The sequence below is a fragment of the Homo sapiens genome, chromosome 3, assembly GCF_000001405.40.
Source record: "Homo sapiens chromosome 3, GRCh38.p14 Primary Assembly".
Taxonomy (NCBI): domain Eukaryota; kingdom Metazoa; phylum Chordata; class Mammalia; order Primates; family Hominidae; genus Homo; species Homo sapiens.
The window spans coordinates 100103037-100121168 of NC_000003.12; the positions used below are offsets into that span (position 1 = coordinate 100103037).

The 18132-nt window shown below is 37.9% G+C and overlaps 2 protein-coding genes across 6 annotated transcripts in view; one reads left to right on the forward strand and one right to left on the reverse strand.

The window, feature by feature from the left end:
* Positions 1-11465, reverse strand: part of FILIP1L (filamin A interacting protein 1 like) — a 285691-nt gene extending 274226 nt beyond the window's left edge. For all 4 annotated transcript variants that reach the window (NM_001387852.1, NM_001387850.1, NM_182909.4 and 1 more), the window contains exon 1: positions 11017-11465. The gene's annotated coding sequence lies outside the window, so the exon portion shown is untranslated. The remainder of the gene's footprint in view (positions 1-11016) is intronic.
* Positions 1-18132, forward strand: part of CMSS1 (cms1 ribosomal small subunit homolog) — a 363871-nt gene that overhangs the window by 285175 nt on the left and 60564 nt on the right. Inside the window, exon 1 of one of the 2 annotated variants that reach the window (NM_001167924.2) lies at positions 11897-11962. The exons of the other annotated variant lie outside the window; for it this stretch is intronic. Coding sequence (NP_001161396.1) covers positions 11953-11962 — 10 coding nt within the window. The 5' untranslated portion in view covers positions 11897-11952. Of the gene's footprint in view, positions 1-11896; positions 11963-18132 lie in introns of those variants that run through there. 2 annotated transcript variants of the gene reach the window in all.

Consider the following 18132-nt stretch of genomic DNA (forward strand, 5'->3'; position numbering starts at 1 on the left):
AGACTAAGTGCTGTAAAAATGAAGCAGACCGACTGTGGGTACACAGATCTAGTCTTTGTGAAATACCTTCCCTGACTTTTGTATATTCCTGTTCACCCTGTGATTGTAGGCCAGGAGTCTTTAATAGGAAACTGGTGATTTGAAGTCTCCCCACATAAGCAGACCAAGCAGCTTTTTGAAAGAAGCCCACTCAGACCATGGAGAAGGCAGCAGCTCACAGTGGCAGCAAGAGCTATGAGACAGCAAGAGTCAGCCAGAAACACACATGCAGAACCCGAAGTCTTGAGCACAGCAGGAGGTTGGGCAAAGCTGCTCCATTCTGAAGGTTATTATGGCCCCACTGGGGGCTGCCACACAAGTACTGGCATGAAAGCAAACTAGTGTTGGGATAACTGTTTTAATATTTGCAAAATCCACTCTAGGTGTGAGCTCCTTTGTGTAACTGAAGATCTAGAGTCTTTAGGAGTTTATTCCTCAAAACTTGAATCAGGTTTTTTCTAGGCAAGTTGGAAGCACGGATTGGGCAGGTAACAACAACCATTCTTCATGTTGAGCAAAAAGGAGGTGTGGGCAGTTAAGAGCCAAAGTTGAGATGGAGGAGAGAATATTGGTTGCCAGCATTGCACTGTATTAGAAGCCATGGAATGGTCTCTTCCAGCAGCTATTACAAACTGCCCCCTGGGAAATTCAAACAAGAAAACCTTTGGGTTTCACTTCACTGGCCTTGCAATAAACATGTTTGTTCAAATAACAAATTGTTGCATTAAGATAAATCTGTCTGTGTTATCCTAAAGAAAAGAGTCTATGCCCTGTGTGTTGGCAGCATTATCAATGAACAGCTGATATTTATGTAAATATCAACCTTATTAATAAGAATCATGAGCACGGGTCTGCCAAGGTTCCTGACAGCTTGTTTAATCAGGCGCATTAACTCAGAGGTTTTCAGTTAGTAGAAGCGTCCTCTTACCTTATTTGCTTAAAGGCCCAGAGGCCATGTCACCAAATTGGGGCTTCTAGCCATCCACTGAGGAGAGGTGACTTTTCATTTCTCTGAAATGAAGCCAACTGCTCTCTGTGTGTGTTTGGATTGGAGAGCACAGGTTACAATGAGAGTGGCCCTCTCTCACCCCCACCCCCATTGCCAGTCATGCCAAGTTACAGGGTAGGGACTGCAAAGAAGCTTGCTCAGGCAAAGCATCTAGATGGACTGACTGGTAGGAGGCCCCTTTGTGGGATGGCTCACCCTGACCTCTGCCTGAAACTGGAATCAAGACCAAGATGACATAGCTGTGGTCACACAAAGCCCGTTAACTACATCAGTTGTCTTTGTTTATTCAATAACTCTGAGCTACACTTTTTTTTACACAAGAAATGTGACCCACACTTTGTTTGAGATACTCCAGAAAGATGTAGCAATGTGGTTACCATTTTATAAACTTTTAAATAAAACTGTTAGCAGTTCACAACTTTGTTTAAAGAACAATGGCTTGGAACATAGGCCTGTGTTCCCAAGACCCAGAGGACAGTGACCAAGGCAGAGAAGAACCGAGTACAGATCTGGCTGACCAAGGCCTGCTTTGCATGCCCAGGAATCTAAAAGTTAAGCTTGAGGGCCTTTTCCTGTTTTGCAGGAGTAGTAGCAGTGAATTTGACCCGATTGCTTTGGTGATTTGCACTGATGTTCTCAGCTTGTTAGCTTTCATCAAGAAAAACTTTCATCAAGAGAAACTCAGAAAAAACAGGGATGAAAAGAGTCACCCCTGTTATTTTCCCTTACCCCCAAAACTGGCTGAGAATCACCATTTACAGCTTAGCTAGCTCAATATCTAGCTATTGCCATCCTTGTTTCTTCACTTCCATGTTTTTCTACCTCTATAGTTTCTTCTGTCTGTAACAGCCAAAACCTCACCTATGCATTAACTCTAATCTTTCTGTAAAAGTATCTGCCTTTATTTAACTTTCTGCTCATGACATGATTTATGTATATAAGAATCTTCATTTACAGATTGTTTCTTTTACTATACTTAGGTGTAGCTATTGTTCTCTTAGCCTAGTCTTGGAAAGGGTGTTCACAAGTAAGCATTGTTTAAGTCTCATATACTTTCCTCTAACAGCATACAAACATTTATGCCTGTAAAGATTTTTCTGGCCTGTTGACAAGGCTGATTTAGTAGATAATGTATTCTCCTACCAGAGCTTAAAGTTGAAATAACATATAATTGAAGCTGACCATTAATACTGATTTGGGAGTGGCAATATTTAGTTTGTTAAGTACTCAGGAAAGACATGAGCAATAGGAATTTGGACTAGTAATATCTTTTTAGACACATATTTCTCACAACTCAGTTTGGCTCCCTGGAAGGCATTTCTTTTGAATCAACTGCAATTCGTATCTAACAATTTCATAGCTTACAAGTAAGACTGCTATTAAAATGTTAACTAATTCTGGGGCAAAAGGGACTTCCAGGAAGGTTCAGTAATCATTGAACAGGGTGGTTAAAGGGCTATAAGATTAACCGAAAACATAGCACTTCTCATATACCCTTTAAGCAGAATTGATAAGGTATTTCCTAGAGATTAATGACATTCTGAGTTAATAGGCTGAGGGAAGGTCATTAATTCTTACACAAAGGTGGTCTGGAAAGTAGAAATGAAAAACAACTGCTAGGTCAAGCTGATGCAATCCCAGGAGACATTTCAGAAGATCAGTTTCCTTTTTAGAAGCCCATGCTTCTTACTGTTGTCACTCTTCCTTCTCCAAATAGCATACCTCATACTCAGGCTTTTAACCTCCTGGGATGCAAGTAGTTTTTTGAAAGGAGTTGTAAGTTCTCTGTTTATCAAACAAAAACTTTTTTTTAATCAATGAGCTTTCTTTTCTCACTTCAAACTTAGAAACATCATCTTGGAAGTCATTCAATTCACATAGCTTCTCACCATCAGATGGTGTGGACAGAAAGTTGTGCCTGGGAGTCTAGAAGTCAAGACAGACAGATTATACCTCCTAGGGGTTTCAATTAAATAAAATATCCATATGTGCTGTGTATAGCATATGGAGAAAATATGATATTACTGTCAATGGTAGACTAGGATTGATGGAACAATCAGATACAGATACCACATAGTAAATCAGAAGAGGTTGACTTATCAAAAGGATGCAGCAACAAGTCAGTACAGCCAGGATACCATTATGAGCAGAGGTGCAAGCTTCCAGCTGTGGAATACTCTCCAGGGATTTACACTTGCAGATGATAATGTCAGACTGAAAGCTCAGTCCTCTTCCAGGCCAGCCTAGGCATGACTGATTCTACATGTAACCTAATCTGGATCTGTTCCAAGGACCCTCCCATCTAGCCAGATTTATTAATCTCAGGATTATGCAAGATATGGCCCCAGGGACAAGAAGGACTCCAGCAGAAATGAGGGTAATGGTGGCAGATGATCTGGAGCCACCCATCTGAAAACTGCACCCAGAAACCCCACTTTGACTCTTTACCCAAAGAAAGGTTGAGAGCTGGAGAATGATTTCTTAGTTGAAAAAGATCTGCCTTCATGTGTGGGTATCATTTTCTCTAACTGTGTTTCCCTGGTAAGGGCTGTAGGATCCAGAAGCATATGCATGCTCACCTGGCCTAAAGCATGTTGCTCACCTTCCTGCTGTAAATGTAAGCTTCCTTTTGAATGCTTTAGATGAGTTATACCCCATCTGATTCACTCAAATTGTGTCTAACTGGTGGTTGTACTACTCCTAACCTAATGCCCTGATCCCTGTAGTATGTTTTCATATGTCTGGAAAATTTAAGATGCCAGAGGTTATATTGTTGCTTTTTAAAAATATGCAGAAAGTTAATAAGATAACAGAAGTATGCTAAGGGAAACTCTGAGAAAAATATTTTCTGGTCAGTAGATGAAGGGAGCCCCATTACAGTGGTGACTGGCATTTTGCCACCAATGTGTGTCTGACCTAACTCTCAAAGAATAAATACTTATGGATTTTGTTACACAGCCAAGAGATATAAATTTGTAGCTACCAGTTCAAAATGCTTAGTGCTGCAGGTACAGGTGAAAATCTTTATATTCTTCCATACAGTTAAAAAAAAATCCTTGTTTTATATACAGATTAATTCCACTAGACCTAGCTGGACCTTTTGAGTTCTCTTTTCAACTGAAATTGCCTTTTAAAGATGAACTGTCCAGATGTAGATGGGAATATAATAATAGAATTCTATGCTGAAAAAACTAGGTTATTTAGGTCATGATTGCAGTTTTATGATGCCATCTGGGAAAATGACAAAGTGCATGTGGGTTTTAAGTAAACTAAAGTTTTTCTCCCTTCAGTAAGCATTATAGCCTCTTCTGACACTTTGTTGGTAGAATTTCTGAACACTTTGTTTACTTTGAGAGTGATGAATCCACGGGTGTGTCATGATTTGAATTGGAGCTTTCCTTCCGCACATTTGGCAGGTATTTAATGCTTCAGTACAGTCTTTCTGAAACTAACCTAACCACTAAACGATAGGCTAGTAAAACTTGCAGTCTTGTGAGTATAAATGCTGTCTTTTTAAATTAGGAAAGAACAAATAAAACCCTGTTGGAAATTCCTTGTTTTAAAAGGAGTAATTTAACGCTCTACTGTTAACATTCTCCCAAGGTAGTATTACATAAATAATTACTGCTAGACAGGAAGAGTCATTTCCCATTATGGAATAATTTTGCACTTTTAGAAATTTCATTGTCTCCTCAGAATCCTCTGGACTGTGAGGCCATAAACTAACACTTTTTTGATTATGGAATCTTCATTACATGATTTATATTTTATGGTAGAAGAGAGCAAGAGAATTAAAAAAAAAAAAAAAAAAGTTACTTGCTTAGGGCCAGAGAATCTCAGGGAAGGGAAAAGGATGTTTCTACCTTTCTAACATCGGTCAAGAAAATTTCTGGTTTACATTTAATAATCAATTTTCTGGGATTTTTCTTAATGCCAAAACCATGAAATGAGGCATTTTAAATTCATACCTGTCCGTGGATGTGTACTCTAGAGCACTGGTTCTTAACTTAGGGTCCCAAAGAAAATACATGATTCAAATGCTAGTTCCTTTTATTTATAGATGACATTTCTAGCCCATGGCTTCTTAATTCGGTCCAGGGAATCCAAAGTTTTGTGTCTGTGTGCAATCTAACTAGGTCTTGTAGCATTTTTCAGCCTTTCAGAAGGAACTGACCACGTTGTCAAGACTGATTATTTTTTATAGATCCAAGGTATAGCACCATAGTGGGAGTTTTCTATATTAATGATAATGATAATAACAGCCTCTCATTATTGAGCACTTATGTGTCACTAACTGTGCTTATTACTTACCAAGGCAGGTACAATTCTTATCTGCATTTTATGGCTGAGGAAACATGAGGCTTTAGAGGGTAACTTGTTGAGGAACACACTGAAATGGAATTAGAAGCCAGTGATGCCATCTGGGAAAATCTATGCCCTTAGACATTAAATGCATTGTGGTACATTCTGGTTTTGACTCTGATTTTGTTTGATATTCATGTATTCAATTCAAACAGTCCTCACTGTATTCTAGTGGTTGGGCATTGCCCTGTATCTAGATGCTACTGTGTTACAATTCCGAGATCAACATTGGATTACAGGACCCAAGACAGTGTCTGGCACTCGTTTGTTTGTTAGATAACTAAGTAAGCAAATGAACAAATGTATGCCCCTTCCAAACATGGCTTGGGTCTTCTTTTGTGGTACACCTCATGCTCAGCACAGCGTGTGGTTGTGGTGGCTGTTGTTTTTGACAAACAGTAGGCTTGCTATGTCTATCTGAATACTAAAATCAGATCATATTCCCTTGTAACTGTGTATCTGTCAGAAGCCAGCAGCTTCTGGCCAGTTTCGCAACATGGCATTTGGAAGGCAGGTACTTAGAGTTTATTGCGTAGTTTTTGGTCCCATGGCTTTTTCAATGCAGTTTGACAGTCGGTATTATACAAGAACAGAGTTGAGTTTTCTGGGTTCTACAGGATGATCGTTTTTAACTGTCTCTTAAAAAAAAAAAAAAGCATATTTCTCTGCCACTAACTTTCTCAGGCCTCAATTCTTCCGCTGTAAATCAAGGTGGTTGGACTCTATTAATCATTTTTTAAGGGTTCTTTTTCTTTTGTGTGTTTTAATATCCTAAAAAAAAATTTTTCAATGAAAATCTGCAAGAATTCCATACAACACCAAAGCAGGATACGCTGGTTGAAGTTTGAAGTGGGATTCTCTCAATATAGAGCCACACAATAAGGTATGCTTTACATATAGTAAAATTACCTCTTATATAACGTACAATTCTGAAAATTTTGACAAGCTCATGCAATCATGTAACCACCATTATAGTCAAGACATAAAGCAGTTCCATCACCCGAGATGTTCCTGCTCACCCTTTTGTAGTCAGTTCCTCCCCTCAGCGTCAGCTGTTGGCAACCACTGATGTGTTTTCTGTCCCTATAGTTTTTGGGGGTTTTTTCCCACAATGTTGTATAAATGAACTCATTCAGGATGCAGCTTTTTCAGTCTGGATTCTTTCAATTGGCATAATGCAATTGAGGTTCATGCATATTGTTGTGTGTTTCATTGGTATTGCTGAGTAATTCATAGTATTGATATACTATAGTTTGATTATTCATTTACCAATTGAAGGGGTTGTTTCCAGGTTTTGGCAATTATGAATGAAGCCACTGTAAATATTGTTACCTAACATTCTAAGGTTAATGATATATAAGTTAGCTGCTAAAGTAGATTAAAAAGCATCAAACTCAGGAATCATTGAAGGAAGAGATAGGCACTGCAATCTGCATCTGCAAATGTTTCTTTTATGACCCCCCCCCCCCAGCACCACCCCCCAGCCAAAGAATCCTTAGTAACTTCTGTACCCATACCCACCCTTCAAACTGTTGGCAACCATTTTTTTTCTTGTTCGAAGAAGAAAGATTAGGAGATGTCATCTGAAATAGAACCAGCCCGAAGATAAATCAAGTCACTAATACACCCCTGGTAGCTTTGGGAATATAATATTTTTACATTGATTGGAAGGAAATGCAATAATAAGTTTTAAAAATTTGAACTACTAACTGCACCTGCTTAGAATCTAAAACTGGAGGGGAAAACATAAGGTTAACCCCACATGCTCCCTGATCAAATGCAAAGGTTCTTAAAATAGCTTCATTTAGAGATGTTAGGGGCAGCTGAAACAAGGAGCTGGTGTCCCTAGTCACAACCTGTCAGTTTAATATCATGGCTCAGAAGCAGCTGCCTCTGTATTTTTTTGTTTCAGGGTCAGGAGCAGCAACTCTAAGGAGAAGCACAGAAGCAGCTTTATCCCGTTTGCTATCCTCCCCTGCATTCCAATTTCCTAGTCAAGTGATTGTCCCTGGATCCATCATGAAGATACCTGTCATCCATTTCAAGCCACAAATAGAGAAAAAAGTAGCTAAAAGCCTCCAAGGAATTACAACAAACTTTAAATACATGTACAGGAAATTCCAGGAAGAACGTAAAAAAAGAAATAAAGTCGTGTATTTGCTTGGTCATAGCTAATAATAGACAATACTAGCTATGTGGCTTAACTCTCAAAATCCATCAGAAAAACCTTCTCCATTCACTGCTCTGCTCAGCTCTGTATAGCTCTCCATTACCTGTGCTTACCATTTTTCCATATAGAGTATTTTTTCTTGTGAATTTTTCCTCTTACCCATGATAAACTGCTTCTTCACAACAGCCTACTTATGCTTGCACCAGAAGCAGGATCTGGACTGGGTAGAAAATTGTCTGATCTGATGTGACAATGTTTTATGTTGCTAGGCTGGTGGTACTAACCAGCAGTGTAAAATTCCATTTGTATTTTGCATGTAGGTGGATATACTAATATACTATACTGTTCCTGTCCTAAACAGTCACAAACTTTTTAAAATCTTATTACTCAGAATAATTTTTTATTTCATTACAATAATAGGAGTCAATTCAGAGCTTTACAGCCCAGTTCGCCATATTCTACTTCATCATTCCACCCAAAAAGAAGAAGAAAAAGGCAGTAGCTTATATCTCTTTTAGCAACTAAACTGAATTTTCAAGGGCCAGAAGGAAGAACTCTAGGGTAAGGACCTAGAAGGGCAATGGAGGCAGAAAGAGGATGGTAGGGGGAGGAGTGAAACTTTCCTCTACCTGCATGTTTTCCTGTTTGCTAATACCACTTTCAAACAATAGGTCAGGGCTATGAGTACTCATGTTGAAAATGCAGAATTTTTCTAGAACTTTATTTAAGAGATTACTCCATGAGGCTGTGCGTTAGAGAAAACATTAGCTGGGCTAGTCCCTTAAATATCTAAAACTTAGTTTATCTATCTGCTGAACAGGGAATGGTAATACCTGCCTTTCCTACTACATAGGGTCAAGTGCGTAATTGATATGCGAGTTTTATACACAATATAAAACACCTTGTAGGTATAAATGACATTGTTAATGCCATTATGAAAAGTCTCCTCAACCAAGATGAGAAGCACAGTAGGGCTGCTCTTTCAGTGTAGGCTCCAGTGATTGACCATCAGATTAAACAGAAAATCTTGAACTACTGTCAGATTTGAACCCTAGACTTCTAAGAGGCTATAATACAAATTTTCTTCTGTCTTAGACTTCCTGTCTGACCCAATTCTGAAGAACCAGATGGTATTAGTATGTAAAGTTTTTGTCTAACATCTATAGCTTGCACCAAAATGTCAACATCCCTCAAAGAAGGCTCAAGTATTTGCACTAAAATGTGTTTTCTAATTCAATTATTTGATGCTGAGATGGTATCTAAAATTGTCTCCATATCTATGTTGAACAACATGCACAATACACAGATTCAAATCACTAGTAATCAGACTCTCTGTGCAGATTCCTACACTCAGGGCATCTGGAGACCATGTTTGCCTCATTCACTGTTATAATCCCAATAACCAGCACGGGGCCTGGCACAGAGTAGGCATTCTAAAATAGTTGATGAATGAATGAACAAATGAGCAAACAAACTAAGCTATTACTATAAAAGTGTTCCCCTAATATAACTAAACAAACTTACTGTGTATTGCTGGTAGGCACTAGTTCTACTCTAAGGAAAATAAAAGCTACTAGCACTTTTTCTTTAAATGTTTTTTAATGTAACATATTAGAAAGGTGAAGCGGGTATTACATTGGTAATGAAAATTTTGCTTTAGGTTAGAACATAGAATAATATGGACTGTAATCAGAAGAAAAGAAGATAGAGCCCATTACATTTAGGTTTTTTGCATCCTTGGACCTGCCTGACTCTCGGCAAGTTGCAATGGCAGTCTCCTACAATAGCACTCTATTAAAGGCACCATCATTTCAATGGCACAATAAAATATCTTCATTTCCAGTGCCAGCGCCACTACCTAAGACCAAGTCTTGACTAAATTTATTACTTAAATTTATTGCTAATTTATTGCTTAAATAAAGCTTAAGCAAAAAAGACAATTACACATGAACTTTAATAGAAGGTAAACTCTAAAAATAAATTGTCACTCTTTAAATAATGAATGCTTTTCTTTGCTGCAGAACTTTTACAGAGTATCTTTGTATTGGTTAGTATAAGAATCCAAACCCCACATTGCTTTGGGAAATTACTGAGAAAATTCTCATCAGAGTAGTAGACCTTAATTACCCAGGTGGAAAGAGCCCATGAATATTATTGCTGCCTTTAGAAGTTTTTATTAACAAACAGCTCTTACAGTATTTATGCTGATTTTTAATTAAGCATAATGAGAGTTTCATAATAGTGTCAACTGATAAATGTAGAGAAATGTTTACTTGGAATATTTGGCTTTGGGAGATAGCAGATTGATAAATCAGAAAATGTCATCACAGGAAAAACAAGTTTAACTGTAGCTAAAGGAACATTGCTGTAATTGCAATGCATTCTCTCTAGTATTAACTACACCATGTTCTCCTTTATGCATATCTAATACACACGTGGAATATGGTAGTGTAGTTAAACAGTGTATGTGTTGCACCTCTTCTATTCCTTCCTGAGATGTGAACAGATAATGAATAAAGAAAGATATGTAATCATTAATTGGTATGGAAAGAAAAAAGAATAACTGAATATGTCACAACCATTTTAACTGAACACATATCTCTCTTCAGTGGAGCGCCTATATACAAAACTGTGCAGCCACCCTAAACATTGAATAATCCTCCCATTGAGGAGTACAGTGAGCAGAATTTTCTGTGATATCATTTGGCAGCAGCCTAGCATCATTTCCCATTTATATCCAGATGTGATGTGCCCATGGATATCCAGTCATCTTCTGTGGGGTGTTACAGAACAAGTTCTTGATAGGTATCTCCCAAGACCTGCCAAAAACCTTATCTCAGAAACCTGCTTCTGTTCTCTGGCTCTCATTCATTAAATCTTAACATCAACAGAAGGTAAACAAACAAAAGAAAAAAGATACAATATAGTTGCCATTTGAAAATGTTAGTTTCTTCCATTAATCTTTCCATGAAAAGAGAATTCCTCCTCTGCAATTTAACCTATTCAGTATAATTCTCCATTTTCAACACATTGTGATGATTTTGACACTGTATATTGATCATTCACATCAGCTTACAAAATCAAGCTATTAAGAAGGAAAGCCATTTATCCAAACATACTTTTTCTTTAATTTTTGACTATCCATCTTACTCTTAACAGGATAACAATTTAAAGTTTCATTTTGGTTTTCTTTCATGTGTATCACTATAGTAAAACTTACCTACTGTCAGGATAGTTCCTCTATTTTGCAAGCAACTCTTAGTCATTTTAGCCTAAAAGTCATCATCTGTCATAAGCTCTTAATCATACTACGTTCCCTTGCATAATATTCACAAGATCCTACTTTTGGAGAGTGGTGTTGGCCGCTCCTAGCTGGTGAATAACACAGAAACATCCCAAAGCCTCTTCTCAGCAAGGATGGGGACACTTAGCTTACCGTGCAGGTACCGTGCAGGTGTTGATCACACCTGGTAATTCCTTCTTCTCATCCCCACCAAAATCCAACAGTGGAATCCAGGACCAACAACAACGTTTTCTTCTTCTCTTTTTGGACACCCTCTCAGTTTTTGTTTTGTAGGCTTGAAAGCCACCGAGAGTTTGCAACCAGGGGCCAGTGATAGCTCTGCAAAGGAGAGGCAGTGGGGAGCCCAACAACAAGTAGGCCCAAACACTAAATATTGCCCTCTTCCCTCTCCGGGCAGTGTCCTTCATGCTCTGAAGACAGGCAGCCTTACCAAAACTCTTACCCCACAGCTTGCCAGTCTCTGTGGAAGAAAGGTTCTAACTGGACTGGGCTGCAGGATGAGGTGACCCAAAAGCCAGGAACCATCTGCGCAGAGCAGACAAGTAGAGGCAGGCACAGGCTCCGTGAGCACGTCTGTGTGTGTGTGTGTGTGTCTGTGTATGTGTGTTTGCATGCCTGTGCCCAGCAGCTGCTCTCCAGATTAGAAGACACCACTCTTTGGCCAGCAACTCTGAAACACCCTCTTAGGTAATTTTAAATTCATGTGCACATCTTGGCTGAGAGTAGAAACTTCCCAAGCACAACCTGGGTCCCATTCTTTGCTGTGTTGCTACCCCAGATATATTGTGAACCACAGACAGCAGTGCTAGCACCTTAGGAACAGATGCCCAGATGGACATTAAATTGCACCTCATTTTGTACCCTGCAGCCATGAGCTGATGTAAGCCTTGTTTGTGATTTAAGTAACAAGGGCATGACCCCTTCTTTGACACCCATAACCCAAGGCACTGTAAACATTCGCTATTATTAACGCTGTGTTGGACTCAAACTTGAATGCCTGCCTGTTCCATTTAGTGTCACAGGAGACACGAGGGCAAAGTGCTGAGGAAACTCTAGAGCAACATCGGAATGCATGGTGGTATGTTTATTATTATTATTTGACATTTTGTTTTATATTATTCAAGTGTTAAGAAAACCTTCATACTTAGGATTGCTAAAATTTGAAGCATCTAATTTTCTTTAAGTAGGATCACTTGTTCAGATTGAGGGGTTGGATAGAAGGGAGGAGTTTGTTCATTTATTCAACAAATATATATTTCAGCATCCATTATGTATCAGATCACTTACCAGACATGCCTACCACCTGCCCAGTGCTCAAGTCATGCATTATCTAATTTAATCCTCACAGCAGCCCTTTAAATTAGTCCTACTCCTGGTGATCTAATGAGAAAACCAAAGATCAGAATAATTTAATAACTTCCTAGGATCTCACAGATGATAGATATAAGACTGAGGATTCAAAATTGAATCTGAGTTACTCCAAAGCCCATGCTCTTTATTTTTAATTTTTAACATCAAAATAATTTCAGACTTATAGAAAAAATACAGGAATAATAAAGAATTTCCATATGCTCTTCACTAAGGTTCTCCAATGTTTAACATTTTACCACTGGTTGTATTCTCCCTCTCTTTCTCTTTCTCTCTCTCTCTCTCTGTCTCTCTCTCTCTCTCTCTCTCTCTCTCTCTCTCTCTCTCTCTCTCTCTCTCTGTCTCTCTCTCTCATCCTCCTTTCCACCCGTGAGTTTATTTTGGTGTGTGTATATTTTTTTCTGAATTAATTTATATACTTTAGTGTGATTATCTTAAAAATGTAAGTATACTCTTCTACATAACCACAGTATAACAATTAAATTCAGTAAATCAACTTTACTTTCTAATCCATAGATCCCATTCAACTTTTCACCAAATGTCTCAATAATATCCTTTATAGAAAAAAAATGGTTTTTTAGTCCACGATTATGTGTTGCATTTAGTTGCCTTGTCTCTACGTTCCTTCAATCTTGAACAGTTCTGTAATCTTCCTTTTTTATATGTGACCTTCACATTTTTGAAGAGTACGTTTTGTAGAATGTTCCTTAGTTTAGATTTGTGTGATGTTTCCTCATTGTGAGATTGAAATTGTGTATTTTTATGGCAGGAATACTACAGAAACAATGCTGTATTCTTCTTAATCATATCAGGAGTCACATAAACGGAGTTAGTCTTGTAACCAAACCCACTTGCTTAAGGTGGTATCTGTTAGATTTACTGTAAAATTATGGTTTTTCCTTTTGCAGTTAATAAATATTTTGTGGGGAGATACTTGGAGACTAGGTAAACATATTGCTCTTAAATAAACTTTCTTAGAGTGAAGAAGAGCATTCCCTTCTCCTCACTTATTTTTGTGTTTATTTATATCAACATGAGCTCATAAATTGCTGTTTTATTGAATGAGTTATAAATCACTAATATCATTATTTATTTTAATGCTCAAATGATCTCAGATGTGGTCCTCATGTTTTTCTGAGTACTTTCTTACCTTCTGGCACAAGAAAATGTTCCATAAGCATCTTGTACTTTCTGTGCCCAACTCTGGAATTAGCCATATCTTCAAGAAGACCTCCATCCATTATGGAAAATGGTATTTAGAAACCAAGATCTGGGGATTGCGTGAGCTCATTGCTTCCAGGCCCTTTCAGGTAATAGGCTAGGAAACACAAACACACACGCGCGCCTATATCTGTTGCTCTGTCTATTTATATTAAAGACTATGAGATCACACTGATAGCTGCATTTCCAATCTAACACCATAGACATAATCTGGCTTTTAACCCTTTCCATATTTGTAACTCCTTTCCCCAACAGTGAGGATAAGGTGGTTTCTGTTATCCTCAGAATACTTATGTATTTGCTCATTGCCCCTGTGGGTAAGGGCCCCTTTGGCCCTTAGTCTTTTTGGCCCCATCATCCCTGATTTCTCAAGGAAAAGGAAAGGAAGTAGTCAAAATTTTTTAAATAAAAAAGAAGGAAATGATGAGAATAAGAGTTTCATGTTCTTTCTATACCATAAAGTATCTGTATCTTCATGGCAAGGTAGGTATTAGAAATCATCATGCAATCTCTGTGAAGGTGTGAAGATGTCATGGAAACAAAAGTTTATAAAGACTGAGGGAAGAGTTCAATTATTTATTCACATAAATAAATAATTGCCATGTGTCAGGCACACTGTGAAAGATAGACGTAGCCCTTGCCCTTGTGAACCTATAATCTAGTGGATTATTTTTATTATAGTTGCTATTTATTATGTCACACTTTGGCAACACTACATTAAGTACATTGAGCACTTTATTTATGTTATTTGATTTTAATTCAGACAGAAACCCTATGGGAGAAATAGTCTTTTTTTCCAACTTTACAAAAAACGGAACTGAGGTTTTGAAAGATTAAGTAATCTTTCCAACATCACTGAGATAATTAGTAAGAGACCGGGATCTGCATTTAGTTTAGTCTGACTTCCGAGGCCTAACTCTAAACACTAGGGCTATATGAGAAAAAAATAAGGTGGAATTATTCATCATGGTGGCATCCAGAAGGAATCATGATTTTTAAAATCTTGAATGCAAACTCTCCTATAGAACTGTGCTATCCAGTACATTAACTACTAACCACGTATGGTTATTAAGAGCATAAAGTGTGGCTAATTCAAATGGAGATATGCTGTAATTATGAAATACACAGCAGATCTCAAAGACATTAGAAAACAACTAATGTAAAATATCTCAGTAATAATGTGTATATTGATTACAGGTTGAAAGATAATACTTTGGATAAATTGGGTAAAACAGATACACTTTTTTTTTTTACCATCACAATAGCCAAAAGGTGGAAACAACCCAAATGTCCATCAATGGATAGATAAACTGCAGTATATATATATATATATATATATATATACATATATATATATATATATATATATACACATACAATGGAGTATTACTCAGGCTTAAAGACGATTGAAATTCTGATACATACTACAATATGGATGAACCATGAAGGCATGCTAAGTGAAATAAATTAGGCACAAAAGGACAGATACTGTTATGATTCCACTTATATAAGGTACCCAGAATTGTCAAATTCATAGAAATAGAAAGTAGAATAGGGTTATCAACAGCTGGTGGGAAGGAATGATGGGGAGAATTGTTTAATGGGTGTAGAATTTCATCTGGGGATGATGGGAAAATTCTGGAAATAGAGAGTAGTGATGGTTGCATACCAGTGTAGTTGTACTTTATTTCACTGAGTTGCACACATGAAAAGGGTTAAAATGGTAATATGTTCTGTGTATTTACTATTATTTTTAAAAATTGGTTTTACTATTTCTAGAAAATTTAACATAACATACACGGCTTATATTATATCTCTATTAGATAGCATTGCTATAGTATTGTATTATTAATACAGAAAATTAGTTATTTAAGAGATTTTGAGATATTAAATGATCCTACATTAGACTTTTCACCTCCTGATCAGTCAGCTTTGAAAGAGTTACAGGACAGCTTTTCACTTACAGTTGTATTAGTGACATAGACTTTTGAAATTAACTTTATGAAACTAGCCATTTGTTGTTTTAATAGTTCATTTTCCAGTTGCAGAGTATCCATGCGGCCTCTGTTCAAGCACTAACATAATTGTCTCAGCCTATGTAGATCCTACAATATAATTATCTTAAAATTCCATCTCCGTTTAAGCTTCCTTGGGTCCATGGAATTGATATTAGTTCATCAGTTAACTTTCAAAAGTTGACCCCTAGGACAGAAACTCTTCCCCTTTCCTGTGGCCTTTCTGTCACAGCATCTACCAAAAATAGGTATCTGTATGGGGAGGAAAGGAGGGAATGTATTGGGCTGACTCTTAGATATCATCCTACAGATAACTGAAAGAATTGTGAGTCCATAAACAGAACACATTCTCTAAAGATGTCTTAGTCCCACCCACTGACAGGTGACCAAGCAACCAAATAAAGAAGGGAAATATCAAGAAAAACATTCCTAATCTTTTGGTGGTCGTGTTGTTGTTTTTTTTGTTTCGTTTTTTGTTGACTCTCTGAGCTTCGGTTTCCTCCTCTGTGAAGGTTTTGCACTGAAAAAGATGTCTTAGTTCTATTTTAGTACTAACATTATGTGAGTCTGTGAATTAATGACTTTAAAATGATTCAGGGAAGCCTAATACTGTGCTTTTTGCTAGATTTTACAATTATTACTGCACATGTCTGCAAGGTGTTGACAGATATATATTGCTAATTCTAGAAAATATGAGGTATAAATTAATTTGTCTATTTATTTTGTTTCTATGAATTATAAAGGAAAAATGAATTCTTGTAGCAGAGCTAGATCACAGGACATCAGTTTCCCCCAGGCATGCCTACTTTTTCTTGACTCACATCCCAAATCCCATCCTTCCCACTGTCCCCTCTGTATCCCAGATGGATCATGTAACCCTCATAGTGCTCCCAAGGCACCCAGAGTTTAACCATACTTTACCCTCAATCCCATGTTATTGCAATTGCCAAGCATACTTGTCTCTCCCCCACTAATGGGAAGTTCTTGGGGTGCAGAGTGCACCTTCCACCTTTGCAGTTGCAGCCTCTGGCACATAGTCAATACACAACACATCATAGAATTGATGCATCTTTGAATGGATGAAGCATCTGACCTCTTTAACCAAATGAACAAAGGATGAGAGTAGCAGCCCCAGAGGAAAGCAACTTCAGAACAGCATCTCACTGAGCTAGAGGGTAAAAAAAATAAGAAAATTACACATATTAAACCAATTAGTCATTTTTCAATTCCAGGGTTGTAAACTTTTGTCCTAACAGACATTTGACTAACAGCAAAATTGACAGTTAGAATTTCATGTATTATCCTGTTCTTAATGTTCCTTAAGAGTGGGATTATTTATATGTAAAATTGAAAGTTCTGGATAATCTACAAAATAGACAAATATCTCCAAGTTTACAGGTTTATTTAGGAACTGGTATAATGAGGGGAGCCTCTGTCTGCCTTTGATGCCTACCTATAGGCAGTGTTTAAGTATTAGACATTTTAGAGCATCATAATTTTCTCAAGTGAAAATGATAATAAGAGGTTAACTTTTTTAAAAAATGAGGAAAACATGTTCTTGACCTCTGAAAATTGTTGTTGCAAATAAGCTGTACTCTCCAGTTTCCAGGGACTATCTCTTCATGTTCTTCAATAATGCCAAAATACCAGGTGACAGCTGTTTTAGCTCTAAGACATTCCTCAAGTGTCCTATTTTGATGTCATTATGTAATGCTTTTCTCTGGCATAGCTATCATCGTTCAGTAGCCTTGTTGACATATGTCACTGCATTGCTTTCTTCCTTGTGTGCCCATATTACTTTTCCAAATAGGCACTGGTTCTCTGAAATGTAGAGTAAAAGAGAGGGAAGGGATAATTCTAGCAACATCTCAGATTGGACCAGTGTCTTCTCCTTGGCTAAAAGATTCCTTTTGCACAGGAAAATACACGAGTTAGAAGTCTTTCTCCCCTCTCAGCCTTCCTTCTGTCTAAAAATGTTATTTCATTCTAATCCTGTTTTCTGTATTAATTGCACATCTTATAAAGAGGTATTATACCAACCGTGCTAAGCGTGGCACCTAGCACTGTGCTAGGTCTTGGTCCTTTAAAGACAAAACGTTGTCCTGTCTCTGTCGCTCAGGAACTCATAGTCTAATAGGAAAGGTGGTATGAGATTCTCATTTTAATAGGCTAGGTGTTCTGATGTAGGGCTGAGTAGCCTGTTGTCTAAGTCTTCCTGAGGTGGAGGTCAGGGAGGCTTCACGGGGTGGGGGTGGGGATGCAACTATTTTAACTGGACACCTTGGGCAAGGAGCAGTAGGTTTCTGGCAGGAAAAGAGTAAGAAGGAGGGCATTCTAGGCAGAGGACACCGAGTCAACCCAGGCACCCTGGCAGGAAAGCGCAGGATGGCTTCAGCCCTTGCAGCTGCCCCGTGCCTTAAGGACAGGGCTATGGCATCCAGCTTTGTACTCATGAAAATTGTGTGGCTCAGCTTTAACTTTGGTACCACTGCATGCCCTGTATTTGACATAAAACCTTAGATAAACCACTTACGTCACAGCTTCTCCAAAGTGACCCCTGAATTCAAGCAAACTCTTTTTTTTAATTCTTTAAGTTCTGGGCTACGTGTGCAGAACGTTCTGTTTTGTTACATAGGTATACACG